This window comes from Homo sapiens, chromosome 5 (genome assembly GCF_000001405.40).
Source record: "Homo sapiens chromosome 5, GRCh38.p14 Primary Assembly".
Lineage (NCBI taxonomy): Eukaryota > Metazoa > Chordata > Mammalia > Primates > Hominidae > Homo > Homo sapiens.
The window spans coordinates 157410546-157427502 of NC_000005.10; the positions used below are offsets into that span (position 1 = coordinate 157410546).

Genomic DNA, 16957 nt, shown 5'->3' on the forward strand with positions numbered 1-16957 from the left:
CCAGGGATGGTGGTGCATGTCTGTAATCCCAGCTACTCAAGAGGCTGAGACAGGATAATTGTGTGAACCTGGGAGGCAGAGGTTGCAGTGAGCCGAGACTGCACCACTGCACTCCAGCCTGGGCAAAAGAGCAAGACTCCATCTCCAAAAAAGGGAAAACAACAACAACAACAAAACACCACCCTCAGAAATTACTACAAACACCTCTATGCACACAAACTACAAAACCTAGATGAGATGGATAAATTTCTGGAAACATACAGCCTACATCCTCCCACTTCCGAGCTAGGAAGAAATTGATTCCCTGATCAGACTAATAACAGGCTCTAAAATTGAATCAGTAATAAATAGCCTATCAACCAACCAGTAATAAAAAGCCTACCAACCAGTCCTGGGCTTTCAAAGAAGCATGTGACTGGATGGATTCACAGACGAATTCTACCAGATGTACAAAAAAAGAGATGGTACCATTCCTACAGAAACTATTCCAAAAAATTTGACAAGGAATGACTCCTCCCCAACTCATTCTATGAGGCCAGCATCATCTTGATACCTGACAGAGACACAACAACAAAAAAAGAAAACTTCAGGCCAATATCCTTGATGAACATTGATGCAAAAATCCTCAATACAATACTTGCAAACCGAATACAGCAGCATATCAAAAAGCTAATCCACCATGATTAAGTAGGCTTCATCCCTGGGATGCAAGGTTGGTTCAACATAGGCAAAATCAAAAAATGTGATTTATCACATAAACAGGACTAAAGACAAAAACCACATGATTATCTCAATAGACACAGAAAAGACTTTTGATAAAATTCAACACTCCTTCATGTTAAAACTTCTCAAACTAGGTATTGAAGGAACATACCTCAAAATAATAAGAGCCATCTATGACCAACTTAGAGCCAAAATTACATTGAGTGGGCAAAAGCTGGAAGCATTCCCCTTGAAAACTGGCACAAGAATGCTCTCTCTCACCACTTCTATTTAACATAGTATTGGAAGTCCTAGCCAGAGCAATTAGGCAAGAGAAAGAAAGGACATTGAAATAGGAAGAGAGAAAGTCAAACATCTGTTTGCAGATGACATGATTAGTGTCAGCCCAAAAGCTCCTTAAGCTGATAAATAACTTCAAAGTTGCAGGATACAAAAATCCATGTACAAAAATCATTAGTATTTCTATACATCAACAATGGCCAAACTGAGAGGCAAATCAAAAATGTAATCTCATTCACAAATGCCACAAAAATAAAATACTTAGGAATACAGCTAACAAGGAAGATGAAAAAGCTTTACAATGAGAATTATAAAACACTGCTCAAAGAACTCAGAGAAGACAAAAACAAATGGGAAAACATCCCATGTTCATGAATACGAAAAATCAATACCATTAAAATGACTACACTGCCCAAAGCAATTTACAGATTCAATGCTATTCCTATCACACTACCAATGACATTTCACAGAACTGGAAAAAACTATCTTAAAATTCATATGGAACCAAAAAAAGAGCCTGAACAGCTAAGGCATCCCTAAGCAAAAAGAACAAAACTGGAGGCATCACGTTACCTGACTTCAAATTATACTACAATGCTACAGTAACCAAAACAGCATGGTACTGGTGCAAAAAACAGACACATAGACCAAGGGAGCAGAATAGACAGCCCAGAAATAGGACCACACATCTACAACCATCTGATCTTCAACAAAGCTGACAAAAAACAAGCAATGGGGAAAAGACTCCCTTGTCAATAAACAGTACTGGGATAACTGGCTAGCCGTATGCAGAAGACTGAAGCTGGACCCCCTTGCTCACACCATACACAAAAATTAACTCGAGATGGATTAAAGACTTAAATGTAAAACCCAAAACTATAAAAACCCCAGAAGACAACATAGGCAATACCATCCTGGACATAGGAACAGGCAGGTTTCATGACAAAGACACTAAAAGCAATCGCAACGAAAACAAAATTTGACAAGTGGGTCTGATTAAACTTAAGAGATACTGCACAGCAAAAGAAACTATCAACAGAGTAAACAGGCAGTCTAAAATGGGAGAAAATTTTTGCAAACTATGCATCTGACAAAGGTCTAATATCCAGCATCTATGAGGGACTTAAATTTATAAGAAAAAACAACCCCATTAAAAAGTGGGCAAAGGACATGAACAGATATTTCTCAAAAGAAGACATACATGCAGCCAACAAACATATTTAAAAAGACTTAAAGAATAAAAAACTTTAAAAAAAAGAAAAAAGCTCAATATTACTGATTAGAGAAATGCAAATAAAACCATAATGAGATACTAGTTCACACCAGTCAGAATAGCTATTATTAAAAACTCAAAAAATAACAGATACTGGTGAGGTTTTGGAGAAAAGTGCACACTTATACACTGTTGATGGGAGTGTAAATTAGTTCAACCATTGTGGAAAGCAGTATGTTGATTCCTCAAAGAGCTAAAAGCAGAACTACCATTAGACCCAGCAATCCCATTACTGGGTATATACCCAGCGGAATATTAAGTCATTCTACCATAAAGACACATGTATGCAAATGTTCATTGCAGCACTATTCACAATAGCAAATACATGGAATCAACTTAAATGCTCATAAATGACAGACTGGATAAAGAAAATGAGGTACATATGCACTATGGAATACTACACAGCCATAAAAAAACAATGAGATCATGTCTTTTGTGGGAACATGGATGGAGCTGGAGGCCATTATCCTTAGCAAACCGACACAGAAACAGAAAACCAAATGCTGCATGTTCTCACTTATAAGTGGGAGCTAAATAATAAAAACTTACTAACACAAAGAAGAAAACAATAGACACTGGAGTCTACTTGAGCGGGGAGGTTGGGAGGAGGGATAAGAGCAGAAAAGGTAACTATTGGGTACTGGCTTAATTCTTAGGTAATGTAATACATGTATGACAAACCCCCATGACATATGTTCATCTATGTACCAAACCTTCACATATACCCCCAAATCTAAAAGAAACAAAAAAGGAAACATTACAATAGGAGACATACCACAGAAATATAAAAGATCAGAAATTATAAATAACTAATAGAAAATTGATAAATTCCTGGACACACTAAACCTACCCAGATTGAGTCAGGAAGAAATAGAAAACCCGGACAGACCAACAATGAGAAATGAAATTGAACCAGTAATAAAAGGTCTGTCAACAAAAAAAAAGTGCAGGACTGCATGGCTTCACTGTTGAATTCTGCCAAACTTACAAAGAAGATTTAATACCAATTTTCCTCAAACTGTTGCAAAAAATTGAAAAGGAGGAAAATTTCCCTAATTCATTCAAAGTTTTCCCTAATTAAAAAAAAAGAGAAAACCACAAGCCAATATCCCTGATTAACAGAGACAAAAATCCTCAAAATACTAAGCAAACTAAATCCAATATCAAAAACATAATACACCATGATCTAGTGGAATTTATCCCAAGGATGCAAGGATGGTTCAACATATACAAGTTAAACATAATATATCACACCAACAGAAAGGAAGACAAAAATCATATCTCAGTAAATGGAGAAAAAGCATTTGATAAAATTCAACATCCCTTAATGATAAAAACTTCCAACATAGTAGGCATAGAAGGAACATACCTCAACATAATAAAGGCCATATACAACAAGTCCACATCTAACACCACACTGAATGGGAAAAACCTGAAAACCTTTTCTCTGAAAACTGAAACAAGTCAAGAATGTTCACTTTCACCACTCTTAATAAACATAGCACTGGAAGTCCTAGCCAGAGCAATCAGGTAAGAAAAATAAATAAAAGACATAGGCCAGGTGCAGTGGCTCATGCCTGTAATCCCAGCATTTTGGGAGGCCAAAGTGGGAGGATAACCTGAGGTTAGGAGTTCGAGACCAGCCTGGCCAACATGGTGAAACCGTCTCTACTAAAAAAATACAAAAATTTGACAGGTGTAGTGGCGGGTGCCTGTAATCCCAGCTATCCCAGGGGGCTGAGGCAGGAGAATTGCTTGAACCTGGGAGGTAGAGGTTGCAGTGAGCCGAGATTGTACCACTGCACTCCAGCCTGGGTGACAGGGTAAGACCCTGTCTAAAAAAATAAAAATAAAAATGTGGAAAGAGGAAGTCAAATTGTTCCTCTGCAGATAACATGATCTTTTATCTAGAAAAAATCTTAAAACTTTATGAAAAAACTTATATTCATAAGTAAATTTAGCAAAATAGGATATAAAATCAACTTACAAAAATCAACAGCATTTCTAAACACCAATAATAAACTGAGAAATAAATCAAAAAAGCAATCCCATTTACAATGGCTCCAAAAAAAATAATACCTAGGAATAAATTTAACCAAGGAAGCAAAAGACCTTTACAAGGAAAACTTCAAGACTCTGTTGAAAGAAATTAAAGAGGACACAAATAGAAAGACATCCCATGCTCACGAATCAGAAGAGTTAACATAGTTAAAATGACCATACTACCCAAAGCAATCTACAGATTCAACACAATCTCTATCAAAATACCAATGTCATTTTTCACAGAAATGGAAAAAAAATCCTAGAATTCAAATGAAACCAAAAAAGAGCCAGAATAGTCAAAGTCCTCCTGAATAAAAAGAACAAAGCTGGAGGCATCATATTACCTGGTTCAAAATATATTTCAAGGCTATAGTAACCAAAACAGCAAGTATTGGTATAAAAACAGACACACAGACCAATGGAGCAAAACAGAGAACACAGAAAAAGTCACATACTTACAGCCAACTGATTTTTGACAAAGACACCAAGAACATACACTGGGCAAAGGACATGTTTTTCAATAAGTAATGCTGGGAAAATTGAATGTCTATATGCAGAAAAATGAAACTGGACCCCTATTTCTCACTGCACATAAATGTCAACTCAAGCTAGATGAAAGGCTTAAATGTAACATCTGAAAATATAAAACTACTAGAAGAAAACAGGGAAAACACTTCAGGACATTTATCTAGACAAAGATTTTATGGCTAAGACCTCAAAAGCACAGACAATAAAAACACAAATAGACAAGGAGACTATCATAAACTAAAAAGCTTCTGCACAGTAAACAAAGCAATCAATGAAATGAAGAGACAATCTGTTGAATGTTTGAGAAAATATTAGCCAACTATTCATCCCTCAAGGGGCTATTATCTAGAATATACAAGCAACTCAAACAACTCAGTAATAATAATCACATGAAAAAGTGGAGAAATTACATAAATAGACATTTCTCAAAAGACGATCTACAAGTGGCCAACAGGTAAAAGAAATTTTTAAAAAGTTCATCACTACTCATCAGGGAAATGTACATTGAAACCAAAATGAGATATAGTTAGAGTAGCTATTATAAAATTTTTTTTTAAAAAAAACAGATGCTGGCAAGGATACAGAGAAAAGGCAACTCTTGTACACTGTTGGTGGGAATGTAGATTAGCATTGCCACTATGCAAAACAATATGGAGTTCTCTGAAAACTAAAAATAGAGCTACCATATGACCCAGCAATTCCACTGCTGGGAATTTAGTCAAAGGAAAAGAAATCAGTATATCAAATAGATACCTGCCCTCTCATATTTATTGCAGTACCATTCACAATAGCAAAGATAGGGAATCAACCCAAGTGGCCATCACTGTATGAATGAATGAATGAATAAATGAATGAATGAAATGTGATATATACAAAATGGGACACTATTTGGCCATAAAATAAAGAATGAAACCATGCCATTTTCAGCAACATGGATAGAACTGAAGGTCATTATGTTAAATGAAATAATCCAGGCACAGAAAGACAAATATTGCATGTTCTCACTCATATATAAAGGCTAAGGAAGTTGATCTCATAAAGGCTGAGAGTAGAATGATACATACCAGAGACTGGGAAAGGTATGTCGGTAGAGGGGGGATGAAGAGAGGTTGGTTAATGGATACAAACATACAGTTGCATAGAAGGAATAAGTTCTAATGTTTGATAGCAGAGTAGGGTGACTATAATTAACAATGTGTTATATATGTCAAAATAGCTAAAAGAGAGGCCTTGAGACATTCCCAACCTGAAGAAACAATATTCAAGGTGATGGATACCCTATATACCTAAACTTTATTATTACATATTCTATGCATGTAACAAAATAACATGCACCACATTAATATGTACAAATATTATGTATCAATTCTAGAAATATGACAACCAACAATTTTATATCAAGCAAAACTGTCCTGCAGAAGTGAGGGAAATATTTTATCCCTCACACCCTTCCCACACTTTCTTCAAGCCCCCAAAGTCCATTGTGTCATTCTTATGCCTTTGCACCCTGACAGCTTAGCTCCTACTTATGAGTGAGAACATACAATATTTGGTTTTCCATTCCTGAGTTTCTTCACTTAGAATAATAGTCTCCAATCTCATCCAGGTTGCTGTGAATGCCATTAATTCATTCCTTTTTATGGCTGAGTAGTATTCCATCTCATATATGTGTGTGTATATATATATAAAACATATATTATTCATATATATAAACTGATATATATACATATATGTATATATGTGGTTGATATATAGATATGTGATATATATCATATATATGTATATATATGTATCACATATATGATATATAGATATAGATGTATGATACATATATATGTATACATATGATATATATGTATACATATATGATATATATACACATGTTATTTATACACATATATGTGATATATACATATATATACATGTGATATATACATATACACACATGTATATACATATGTGATATATATATAAATCACAGTTTCTGTATCCACTCATTGATTGGTGGCCATTTACTAAAATCTCATAGATCACCACCAAAGAACTTACTCATGTAACCAAACACTACCCAATAACCTATGGAAATAAAAAATTTTAAAAAATAAACTCGAGGGGCAGTTCCAAGATGGCTGAATAGGAACAGCTCTAGTCTACAGCTCCCGGCATGAGTAATGCAGAAGACAGGTGATTTCTGCATTTCCAACTGAGGTACTGGGTTCATCTCACTGGGGATCCTTGGACAGTGGGGGCAGGACAGTGGGTGCAGCCCACCTAGCATAAGCCAAAGCAGGGTGAGGCATTGCCTCACCTGGGAAGCCCAAGGGGTCAGGGAATTCCCTTTCCTAGCCAAGGGAAGGGTTGACATATGGCACCTGGAAAATCAGGTCACTCCTACCCTAATACTGCACTTTTCCAACTGTCTTAGCAAACGGCACCACCAGGAGATTATAGCCCAAACATGGCTCAGAGGGTCCCATGCCCAAGGAGCCTCGCTCATTTTTAGCACAGCAGGCTGAGATCAAACTGCAAGGTGGCAGCGAGGCTGGGGGAGGGGCGCCCGCCATTGCTGAGGCTTGAGTAGGTAAACAAAGCGGCCAGGAAGATGGAACTGGGTGGAGACCACCTCAGCTCAAGGCGGCCTGCCTGCCTCTGTAGACTCCACATCTGGAGGCAAGGCATAGCCAAACAAAAAGCAGCAGAAACCTCTGCAGACTTAAATGTCCCTGTCTGACAGCTTTGAAGAGAGTAGTGGTTCTCCCAGCATGGAGTTTGAGATCTGAGAACAGACAGACTGCCTCCTCAAGTGGGTCCCTGACCCCCGAGTAGCCTAAATGGGAGACACCCAGACTGACACCTCACACGGCCTGGTACCCCTCTGAAATGAAGCTTCCAGAGGAAAGAACAGGCAGCAACATTTGCTGTTCAGCAATATTCACTGTTCTGCAGCCTCCGCTGCTGATACCCAGGCAAACAGGGTCTGGAGTGGACCTCCAGCAAACTCCAACTGACCTGCAGCTGAGGGTCCCGACTGTTAGAAGGAAAACTAACATACAGAATGGACATCCACACCAAAACCCCATCTGTACATCACCATCATCAAAGACCAAAGGTAGATAAAACCACAAAGATGGGGAAAAAACAGAGCAGAAAAGCTGAAAATTCTAAAAATCAGAGCGACTCTCCCCCTCCAAAGGAATGCAGCTCTTTGCCAGCAATGGAACAAAGCTGGACAGATAATGAATTTGACAAGTTGAGAGAAGAAGGCTTCAGACGATCAAACTTCTCCGCGCAAAAGGAAGAAGTTCGAACCCATCACAAAGAAGCTAAAAACCTTGAAAAAAGAGTAGACAAATGGCTAACTAGAATAACCAGTGTAGAAAATTCCTTAAATGACCTGATTGAGCTGAAAACCATGGCACGAGAACTACATGACAAATGCACAAGCTTCAGTAGCCGATTCGATCAACTGGAAGAAAGGGTATCAGTGATTGAAGATCAAATGAATGAAATGAAGTGAGAAGAGAAGTTTAAAGAAAAAAGAGTAGTGCTCTCCCTCTCCCCACGGTCTCCCTCTCCCTCTCTTTCCACGGTCTCCCTCTGATGCCAAGCCAAAGCTGGACTGTACTGCTGCCATCTCGGCTCACTGCAACCTCCCTGCCTGATTCTCCTGCCTCAGCCTGCTGAGTGCCCGGGATTGCAGGCGGGCGCCGCCACGCCTGACTGGTTTTCGTATTTTTTTGGTGGAGACGGGGTTTCGCTGTGTTGGCCAGGCTGGTCTCCAGCTCCTAACTGCGAGTGATCCGCCAGCCTCGGCCTCCCGAGGTGCCAGGATTGCAGACGGAGTCTCGTTCACTCAGTGCTCAATGGTGCCCAGGCTGGAGTGCAGTGGCCTGATCTCGGCTGGCTACAACCTCCACCTCCCAGCCGCCTGCCTTGGCCTCCCAGAGTGCCGAGATTGCAGCCTCTGCCCGGCCGCCACCCCGTCTGGGAAGTGAGGGGCGTCTCTGCCAGGCCGCCCATCGTCTGGGATATGAGGAGCCCCTCTGCCTGGCTGCCCAGTCTGGAAAGTGAGGAGCATCTCTGCCCGGCCGCCATCCCATCTAGGAAGTGAGGAGCGCCTCTTCCCAGCCGCCATCCCATCTAGGAAGTGAGGAGCGTCTCTGCCCGGCTACCCATCGTCTGGGATGTGAGGAGCACCTCTGCCCCGCCGCCCCATCTTGGATGTGAGGAGCGCCTCTGCCCGGCCGCGACCCCATCTGGGAGGTGAGGGGCGTCTCTGCCCGGCCGCCCAGTCTGAGAAATGAGGAGCCCCTCCGCCTGGCAGCCACCCCGTCTGAGAGGTGGGGAGCCTCTCCGCCCGGCAGCCGCCCTGTCTGGGAGGTGAGGAGCGTCTCCGCCCGGCGGCCACCCCATCCGGGAGGGAGGTGGGGTTCAGCCCCCCGCCCGGCAAGCCGCCCCGTCTGGGAGGGAGGTGGGGGGTCAGCCCCCCACCCGGCCAGCCTCCCCGTCCGGGAGGGAGGTGGGGTTCAGCCCCCCGCCCGGCAAGCCGCCCCGTCTGGGAGGGAGGTGGGGGGTCAGCCCCCCACCCGGCCAGCCGCCCCATCCGGGAGGGAGGTGGGGGGTCAGCCCCCCGCCCGGCCAGCCGCCCCGTCTGGGAGGTGGGGGGCGCCTCTGCCCGGCCGCCCCTACTGGGAAGTGAGGAGCCCCTCTGCCCGGCCACCACCCCGTCTGGGAGGTGTACCCAACAGCTCACTGAGAATGGGCCATGATGACAATGGCGGTTTTGTGGAATAGAAAAGGGGGAAAGGTGGGGAAAAGATTGAGAAATCGGATAGTTGCTGTGTCTGTGTAGAAAGAAGTAGACATGGGAGACTTTTCATTTTGTTCTGTACTAAGAAAAATTCTTCTGCCTTGGGATCCTGTTGATCTATGACCTTACTTACCCCCAACCCTGTGCTCTCTGAAATATGTGCTGTGTCCACTCAGGGTTAAATGGATTAAGGGCGGTGCAAGATGTGCTTTGTTAAACAGATGCTTGAAGGCAGCATGCTCGTTAAGAGTCATCACCACTCCCTAATCTCAAGTACCCAGGGACACAAACACTGCGGAAGGCCACAGGGTCCTCTGCCTAGGAAAACCAGAGACCTTTGTTCACTTGCTTATCTGCTGACCTTCCCTCCACTATTGTCCTATGACCCTGCCAAATCCCCCTCTGCGAGAAACACCCAAGAATGATCAATTTAAAAAAAAAAAAAAAAAAAAGAGGATCAACAAATGGTGGGACTGTAACCTACAAGAGAAATGAGACTCTTTGAGTACCAGAGTGCAGTCTGTATTAAGCTTTTAAAATGTGTCCCACATAAAGATGGGAACAACAGACCCTGAGGACTACAAGAGTGGGAAGGGCAGGAGGGGGGGAGGGTTGAAAAACAACCTATTCAGGACTCTGCTTACTACCAGGGTGACAGATTCAATTGCACCCCAACCTCAGCACCCCAACCTCATACCCCAATATACCCACGTAACAAACCTATATGTGTACCCCCGAATCTAAAAGTTGAAATTTAAATAAAATCTGACCGAAAAAAAAATAATAATAAATAAATAAACAAATTTAAAAGCAAAAAAGAAAAAAAAAGAAAAAAGAGTAAAAAGAAACAAAGCCTCCAAGAAATATGGGACTACGTGAAAAGACCAAATCTATGTCTGATTGGTGTACCTGAAAGTGATGGGGAGAATGGAACCAAGTTGGAAAACACTCTACAGGATATTATCCAGGAGAACTTCCCCAACCTAGCAAGGCAGGCCAACATTCAAATTCAGGAAATACAGAGAACACCACAAATATACTCCTTGAGAAGAGCAACTCCAAAACACATAATCATTAGATTCACCAAGGTTGAAATGAAGGAAAAAATGTTAAGGGCAGCCAGAGAGAAAGGTCAGGTTACCAACAAATGGAAGCCCATCAGACGAACAGCAGATCTCTTGGCAGAAACTCTACAAGCCAGAAGAGAGTGGGGGCCAATATTCAACATTCTTAAAGAAAAGAATTTTCAACCCAGAATTTCATATCCAACCAAACTAAGCTTCATAAGTGAAGGAGAAATAAAATCCTTTACAGACAAGCAAATGCTGAGAGATTTTGTCACCACCAGGCCTGCCTTACAAGAGCTCCTGAAGGTAGCACTAAACATGGAAAGGAACAGCTGGTACCAGCCACTGCAAAAACATGACAAGTTGTAAAGACCATCGAGGCTAGGAAGAAACTGCATCAACTAACGAGCAAAATAACCAGCTAACAACATAATGACAGGATCAAATTCACACATAACAATATTAACCTTAAATGTAAATGGGCTAAATGCTCCAATTAAAACACACAGACTGGCAAATTGCATAAAGAGTCAAGACCCATCAGTGTGCTGTATTCAGGAGACCCATCTCACGTGCAGAGACACACAAAGGCTCAAAATAAAGGGATGGAGGAAGATCTACCAAGCAAATGGAAAACAAAAAAAGGCTGGGGTTGCAATCCTAGTCTCTGATAAAACAATGAGAACACCTGGACACAGGAAGGGGAACATCACACACCGGGGCCTGTTGTGGGGTGGGGGGAGGGGGAAGGGATAGCATTAGGAGATATACCTAATGTAAATGACGAGTTAATTGGTGCAGCACACCAACATGGCACATGTATACATATGTAACAAACCTGCACGCTGTGCACATGTACCCTAGAACTTAAAGTATAATTTTAAAAAAATTAAAAATGAAAAATAAACTCATGAGTCAACAAACTGCAGCCCTTGAGCCAAATTCAGCTTGCTACTCATTTTTCTACAGCTAATGAGCTAAGAATAATTTGTACAGTTTAAAATAGTTGAAAAATTAACAGGAATAATATTTCATGATATGTGAAAATGTTATGTAATTTACATTTTAGGGTAATAAATTAAGTTTCACTGGGGGAAAAAAAGTGAGGGAGATATTAAAAGATTCCCAGATAACGCTTTTGCAGCCATCACCAAAGTGGGAGCAACCAAAACAAAGTTCAATCCCTTTGTGACTTCCAACCGAAGGAAGAATTGCAAAAGGCATTTCAAAGCACCTTCCCACATTCCCAGAAAGATGTCTTCCCCTCTTTCCAAACAGCTGAGACAGAAGTACAACGTGTGGTCCCTGCCCATCCGAAAGGATGATGAAGTTCAGGTTGTATGAGGACACTATAAAAGGTCAGCAAATTGGCAAAGTAGTCCAGGTTTATAAAAGAAATATGTTATCTACACTGTATGGGTGCAGCAGGAAAAGGCTAATGGTGCCACTGTCCACATATGCATTCACCCCAGCAAGGTGGTTATCACTAGGCTAAAAACAGACAAAGACCACAAAAAGATCCTTGAATGGAAAGCCAAATCTCACCAAATGGGAAAGGAAAAGGTCAAACACAAGGAAGAAACAATTGAGAAGATGCAGGAATAAAGTAATCTTATACACAAGCTTTGATTAAAATTTAACAACTGAAAAAAAGAGATTCCCAGATAAATAGAAGTTGAGGGAGTTTGTGACCACTAGACCTGTCCTGCAAAAAAAAAAACTAGAGGGAGTCCTACAGGTTGAAATGAAAGGACACTAGACAATAACATGAAGCTATATGAAGAAATAAAGATCTCAGCAAAGGTAAAACATGGGCAATTTTTAAAGCTAATATTCTTGTAAGAATTATCTGTAACCACATTCTTTGTTTCCTGCATGATTTAAGAGACTAAAAATTATTACTAGTCCAAAAGCTAGTACAGTTAACCCTTGAACAACATGGGTCCACTTATATGTGGATTTTTACTTTTTTTTTTTTTTTTTGAGACAGGGTCTCACTGTGTCACCCAGACTGGATTGCAGTGGCACAATCATAGCTCACTGCAGCCTCAACCTCCCAGGCCCAGGTGATCCTCTTACCTCAGCCTCCCAAGTAGCTGGGACCACAGGCATGTGCCATCATGTCTGGCTAATTTTTTTGTATTTTCTGTAGAGACAGGGTTTTGCCACGTTGCCTAGGATGGTTTATGAACTCGTGGACTCAAGGGATCCACCCTCCTTAGCTTCCCAAGTGCTGGGATTACAGGCATGAGCCACCATGCCCAGCCACATATGGATTTAAAAAAAAAAAATTATTGGAAAACTTTTTTGAGATTTGCAACAATTGGAAAATAATCACGGATGCATTGCATAGTCTAGAAATATAAAAAAGTAAATGTTATGAATGTATAAACTATAAATAGGTGCTATTTTATCTCTTCTACCATAAAATATATAGAAATTAGAAAAAGGTAAAATTTATGAAAACTTACACACTTACATGCCATACATTGTGCCATTTGCAGTCAAGAGAAACATAAATAAAGATGTGGTATGAAATCATAACTGCATAAAATTAACTGGAGTACATACTGTACTGTTGTAATAATTTCATAGACACTTTCTGTTGCTGTTGCAGTAAGACCAAGTATGGTGAGTATCTGCTTAAAATGTTGTGTGATGCTTTGCATCTCCATGTGAACAGTTTGTCCCTCTAGTAAATTGCATATAGCAGTAAAAAGATCTCCAGCAGTTCTCATGTATTTTTCCTTATGTTTAGTGAAATACTGTAAACCTTCAGTAACAACCTGAGGCCCATACAAAATGCCACTAGTGATGCTGGAAGTGTTCAAGAAGCTGAGAAAAATCTTGACATTACAAGAAAAAGTTGAATTACTTGATACGCATAGATTGAGGTCTGCAGCTGGGGTTGTCTACCACTTCAAGATAAATGAATCCTACATTAGGACTACTGTTTAAAAAAAGAAGCTAAAGCTGCAGCTATGCCAGGAGTCATGAAAACCTTCCTCTCTGTACAAAATATTTTATCTCATGTTGAAAATGCAGCTTTTATGTGAGTACAGAGTTGCCAGAAGAAAGACATACATGGATATGGTTCCAAGATGGCCGAATAGGAACAGCTCCAGCCTACAGCTCCCAGCATGAGCAGAAGATGGGTGATTTCTGCATTTTCAACTGAGGTACTGGGTTCATCTCACTGGGACTGGTTGGACAGTGGGTGCAGCCCACAGAGTGTGAGCCAAAGCAGGGCGGGCATCGCCTCACCTGGGAAGCGCAAAGGGTTAGGGAATTCCCTTTCCTAGCCAAGGGAAGCCGTGACAGATGGTACCTGGAAAAATCGGGACATTCCCTCCCTAATACTGCACTTTTCCAAAGGTCTTAGTAAACAGCACACCAGGAGATTATATCCTGCACCTGGCTCAGCGGGTCCCATGCCCACGGAGCCTTGCTCACTGCTAGCACAGCAGTCCAAGATCAAACTGCGAGGTGGCAGCAAGGCTGGGGGAGGGGCGTCTGCCATTGCTGAGGCTTGACTAAGTAAACAAAGTCATTGGGAAGCTGGAACTGGGTGGAGACCACATCAGCTCAAGGAGGCCTGCCTGCCTCTGTAGACCCCACCCCTCTGGGGGCAAGGTATAGCTAAACAAAAGGCAGCAGAAACTTCTACAGACTTTTAAACATCCCTGTCTGACAGCTTTGAAGAGAGCAGTGGTTCTCCCAGCATGGAGTTTGAGATCTGAGAATGGACAGACCACCTCCTCAAATGGGTCCCTGATCCCCCAGGAGCCTAACTGGGAGACATCTCCCAGTAGTGGCTGACTGACACCTCATACAGCCGGGTGTCCATCTGAGATGAAGCTTCCAGAGGAAGGATCAGGCAGCAACGTTTGCTCTTCTGCAATATTTGCTGTTCTGCAGCCTCTGCTGGTAATACCCAGGAAAATGGTCTGGAGTGGACCTTCAGCAAATTCCAACTGACCTGCAGCTGAGGGTCCTGACTGTTAGAAGGAAAACTAACAGAAAGGACATCCACACCAAAACCCCATCTGTACATCACCATCATGAAAGACCAAAGGTAGATAAAACTACAAAGATGGTGAGAAACCAGAGCAGAAAAGCTGAAAAATCTAACAACCAGAGCACCTCTTCTCATCCAAAGGATTGCAGCTCCTCACCAGCAACAGAACAAAGCTGGACGGATAATGACTTTGACGAGTTGACAGAAGTAGGCTTCAGAAGATCAGTAATAACAAACTTCTCCGAGATAAAGGAGGATGTTTGAACCCATCACAAGGAAGCTAAAACCTTGAAAAAAGATTAGACAAATGGCTAACTCTTCAGCACAGAGAAGACCTTAAATGACCTGATGGAGCTGAAAACTGTGGCATGAGAACTACGTGATGCATGCATAAGATTTAGTATCAAGTGGAAGAAATGATATCAGTGATTGAAGATCAAATGAATGAAATGAAGTGAGAAGAGAAGTTTAGAGAAAAAAGAGTAAAAAAAAAAAAATGAACAAAGCCTCCAAGAAATATGGGACTATGTGAAAAGACCAAATCCACATTTGACTGCTGTACCTGAAAGTGATGGGGAGAATGGAACCAAGTTGGAAAACACTCTTCAGGATACTATCAGGAGAACTTCCCCAACCTAGCAGGGCAGGCCAACATTGAAATTCAGGAAATACAGAGAACAGCACAAAGATACTCCTCAAGAAGAACAACCCCAAGACACATAATCATCAGATTCACCAAGGTTGAAATAAAGGAAAAAATCTTAAGGGCAGCCAGAGAGAAAGGTCAGGTTACCCACAAAGGGAAGCCCATCAGATTAACAGCAGATCTCTTGGCAGAAACTCTACAAGCCAGAAGAGAGTGGGGGCCAATATTCAACATTCTTAAAAGAATTTTCAACCCAGAATTTCATATCCAGCCAAACTAAGCTTCATAAGTGAAGGAGAAATAAAATACTTTACAGACAAGCAAATGCTGAGAGATTTCATCACCACCAGGCCTGCCTTACAAGAGCTCCTGAAGGAAACACTAAACATGAAAAGGAATAACCGGTACCAGCCACTGCAAAAACATGCCAAATTGTAAAGACCATCGATGCTAGGAAGAAACTGCATCAACTAATGAGCAAAATAACCAGCTAACATAATAATGACAGGATCAAATTCACACATAACAATATTAACCTTAAATGTAAATGGGCTAAATGCCCCAAATAAAAGACACAGACTGGCAAATTGCATAAAGAGTCAAGACCCATCAGTGTGCTGTATTCAGGAGACCCACCTCACGTGCACAGACACACATAGGCTCAAAATAAAGGGATGGAGGAAGATCTACCAATCAAATGGAAAACAAAAGAAAGCAGGGGTTGCAATCCTAGTCTCTGATAAAACAGACTTTAAACCAACAAAGATCAAAAGAGACAAAGAAGACCATTACATAATGGTAAAGGGATCAATTCAACAAGAAGAGCTAACTATCCTAAATATATATGCACCAAATACAGGAGCACCCAGATTCATAAAGCAAGTCCTTAAAGACCTACAAAGAGACAGACTCCCACACAATAATAATGGGAGACTTTAACACCCCACTGTCAATATTAGATCAACAAGACAAAGTTGACACGGATATCCAGGACTTGAACTCAACTCTGCACCAAGCAGCTCTAATAGGCATCTACAGAACTCTCCACCAAAAATCAGCAGAATATACATTCTTCTCAGCACCACATCGCACTTATTCCAAAATTGACCACATAGTTTGAAGTAAAGCACTCCTCAGCAAATGTAAAAGAACAGAAATCATAACAAACTGTCTCTCAGACCACAGTGCAATCAGATTAGAACTCAGGATTAAGAAGCTCACTCAAAACTACACAACTACATGGAAAATGAACAACCTGCTCCTGAATGACTACTGGGTACATAACGAAACGAAGGCAGAAATAAAGATGTTCTTTGAAACTAATAAGAACAAAGACACAACATACCACAATCTCTGGGAGACATTTAAAGCAGTGTGTAGAGGTAAATTTATAACACTAAATGCCCACAAGAGAAAGCAGGACAGATCTAAAATTGACACCCTAACATCACAATTAAAAGAACTAGAGAAGCAAGAGCAAACACATTCAAAAGCTAGCAGAAGGCAAGCAATAACTAAGACCAGAGCAGAACTGAAGGATATAGAGACACAAAAAACCCTTCAAAAAAAA

General features: G+C 41.2%; 1 long non-coding RNA gene and 1 pseudogene across 2 annotated transcripts in view; one reads left to right on the top strand and one right to left on the bottom strand.

The window, feature by feature from the left end:
• Positions 1 to 16957, bottom strand: part of NIPAL4-DT (NIPAL4 divergent transcript) — a 97486-nt gene that overhangs the window by 47931 nt on the left and 32598 nt on the right. The gene's annotated exons all lie outside the window — the stretch shown is intronic.
• On the top strand, positions 11859 to 12379 carry RPL26P18 (ribosomal protein L26 pseudogene 18; annotated as a pseudogene).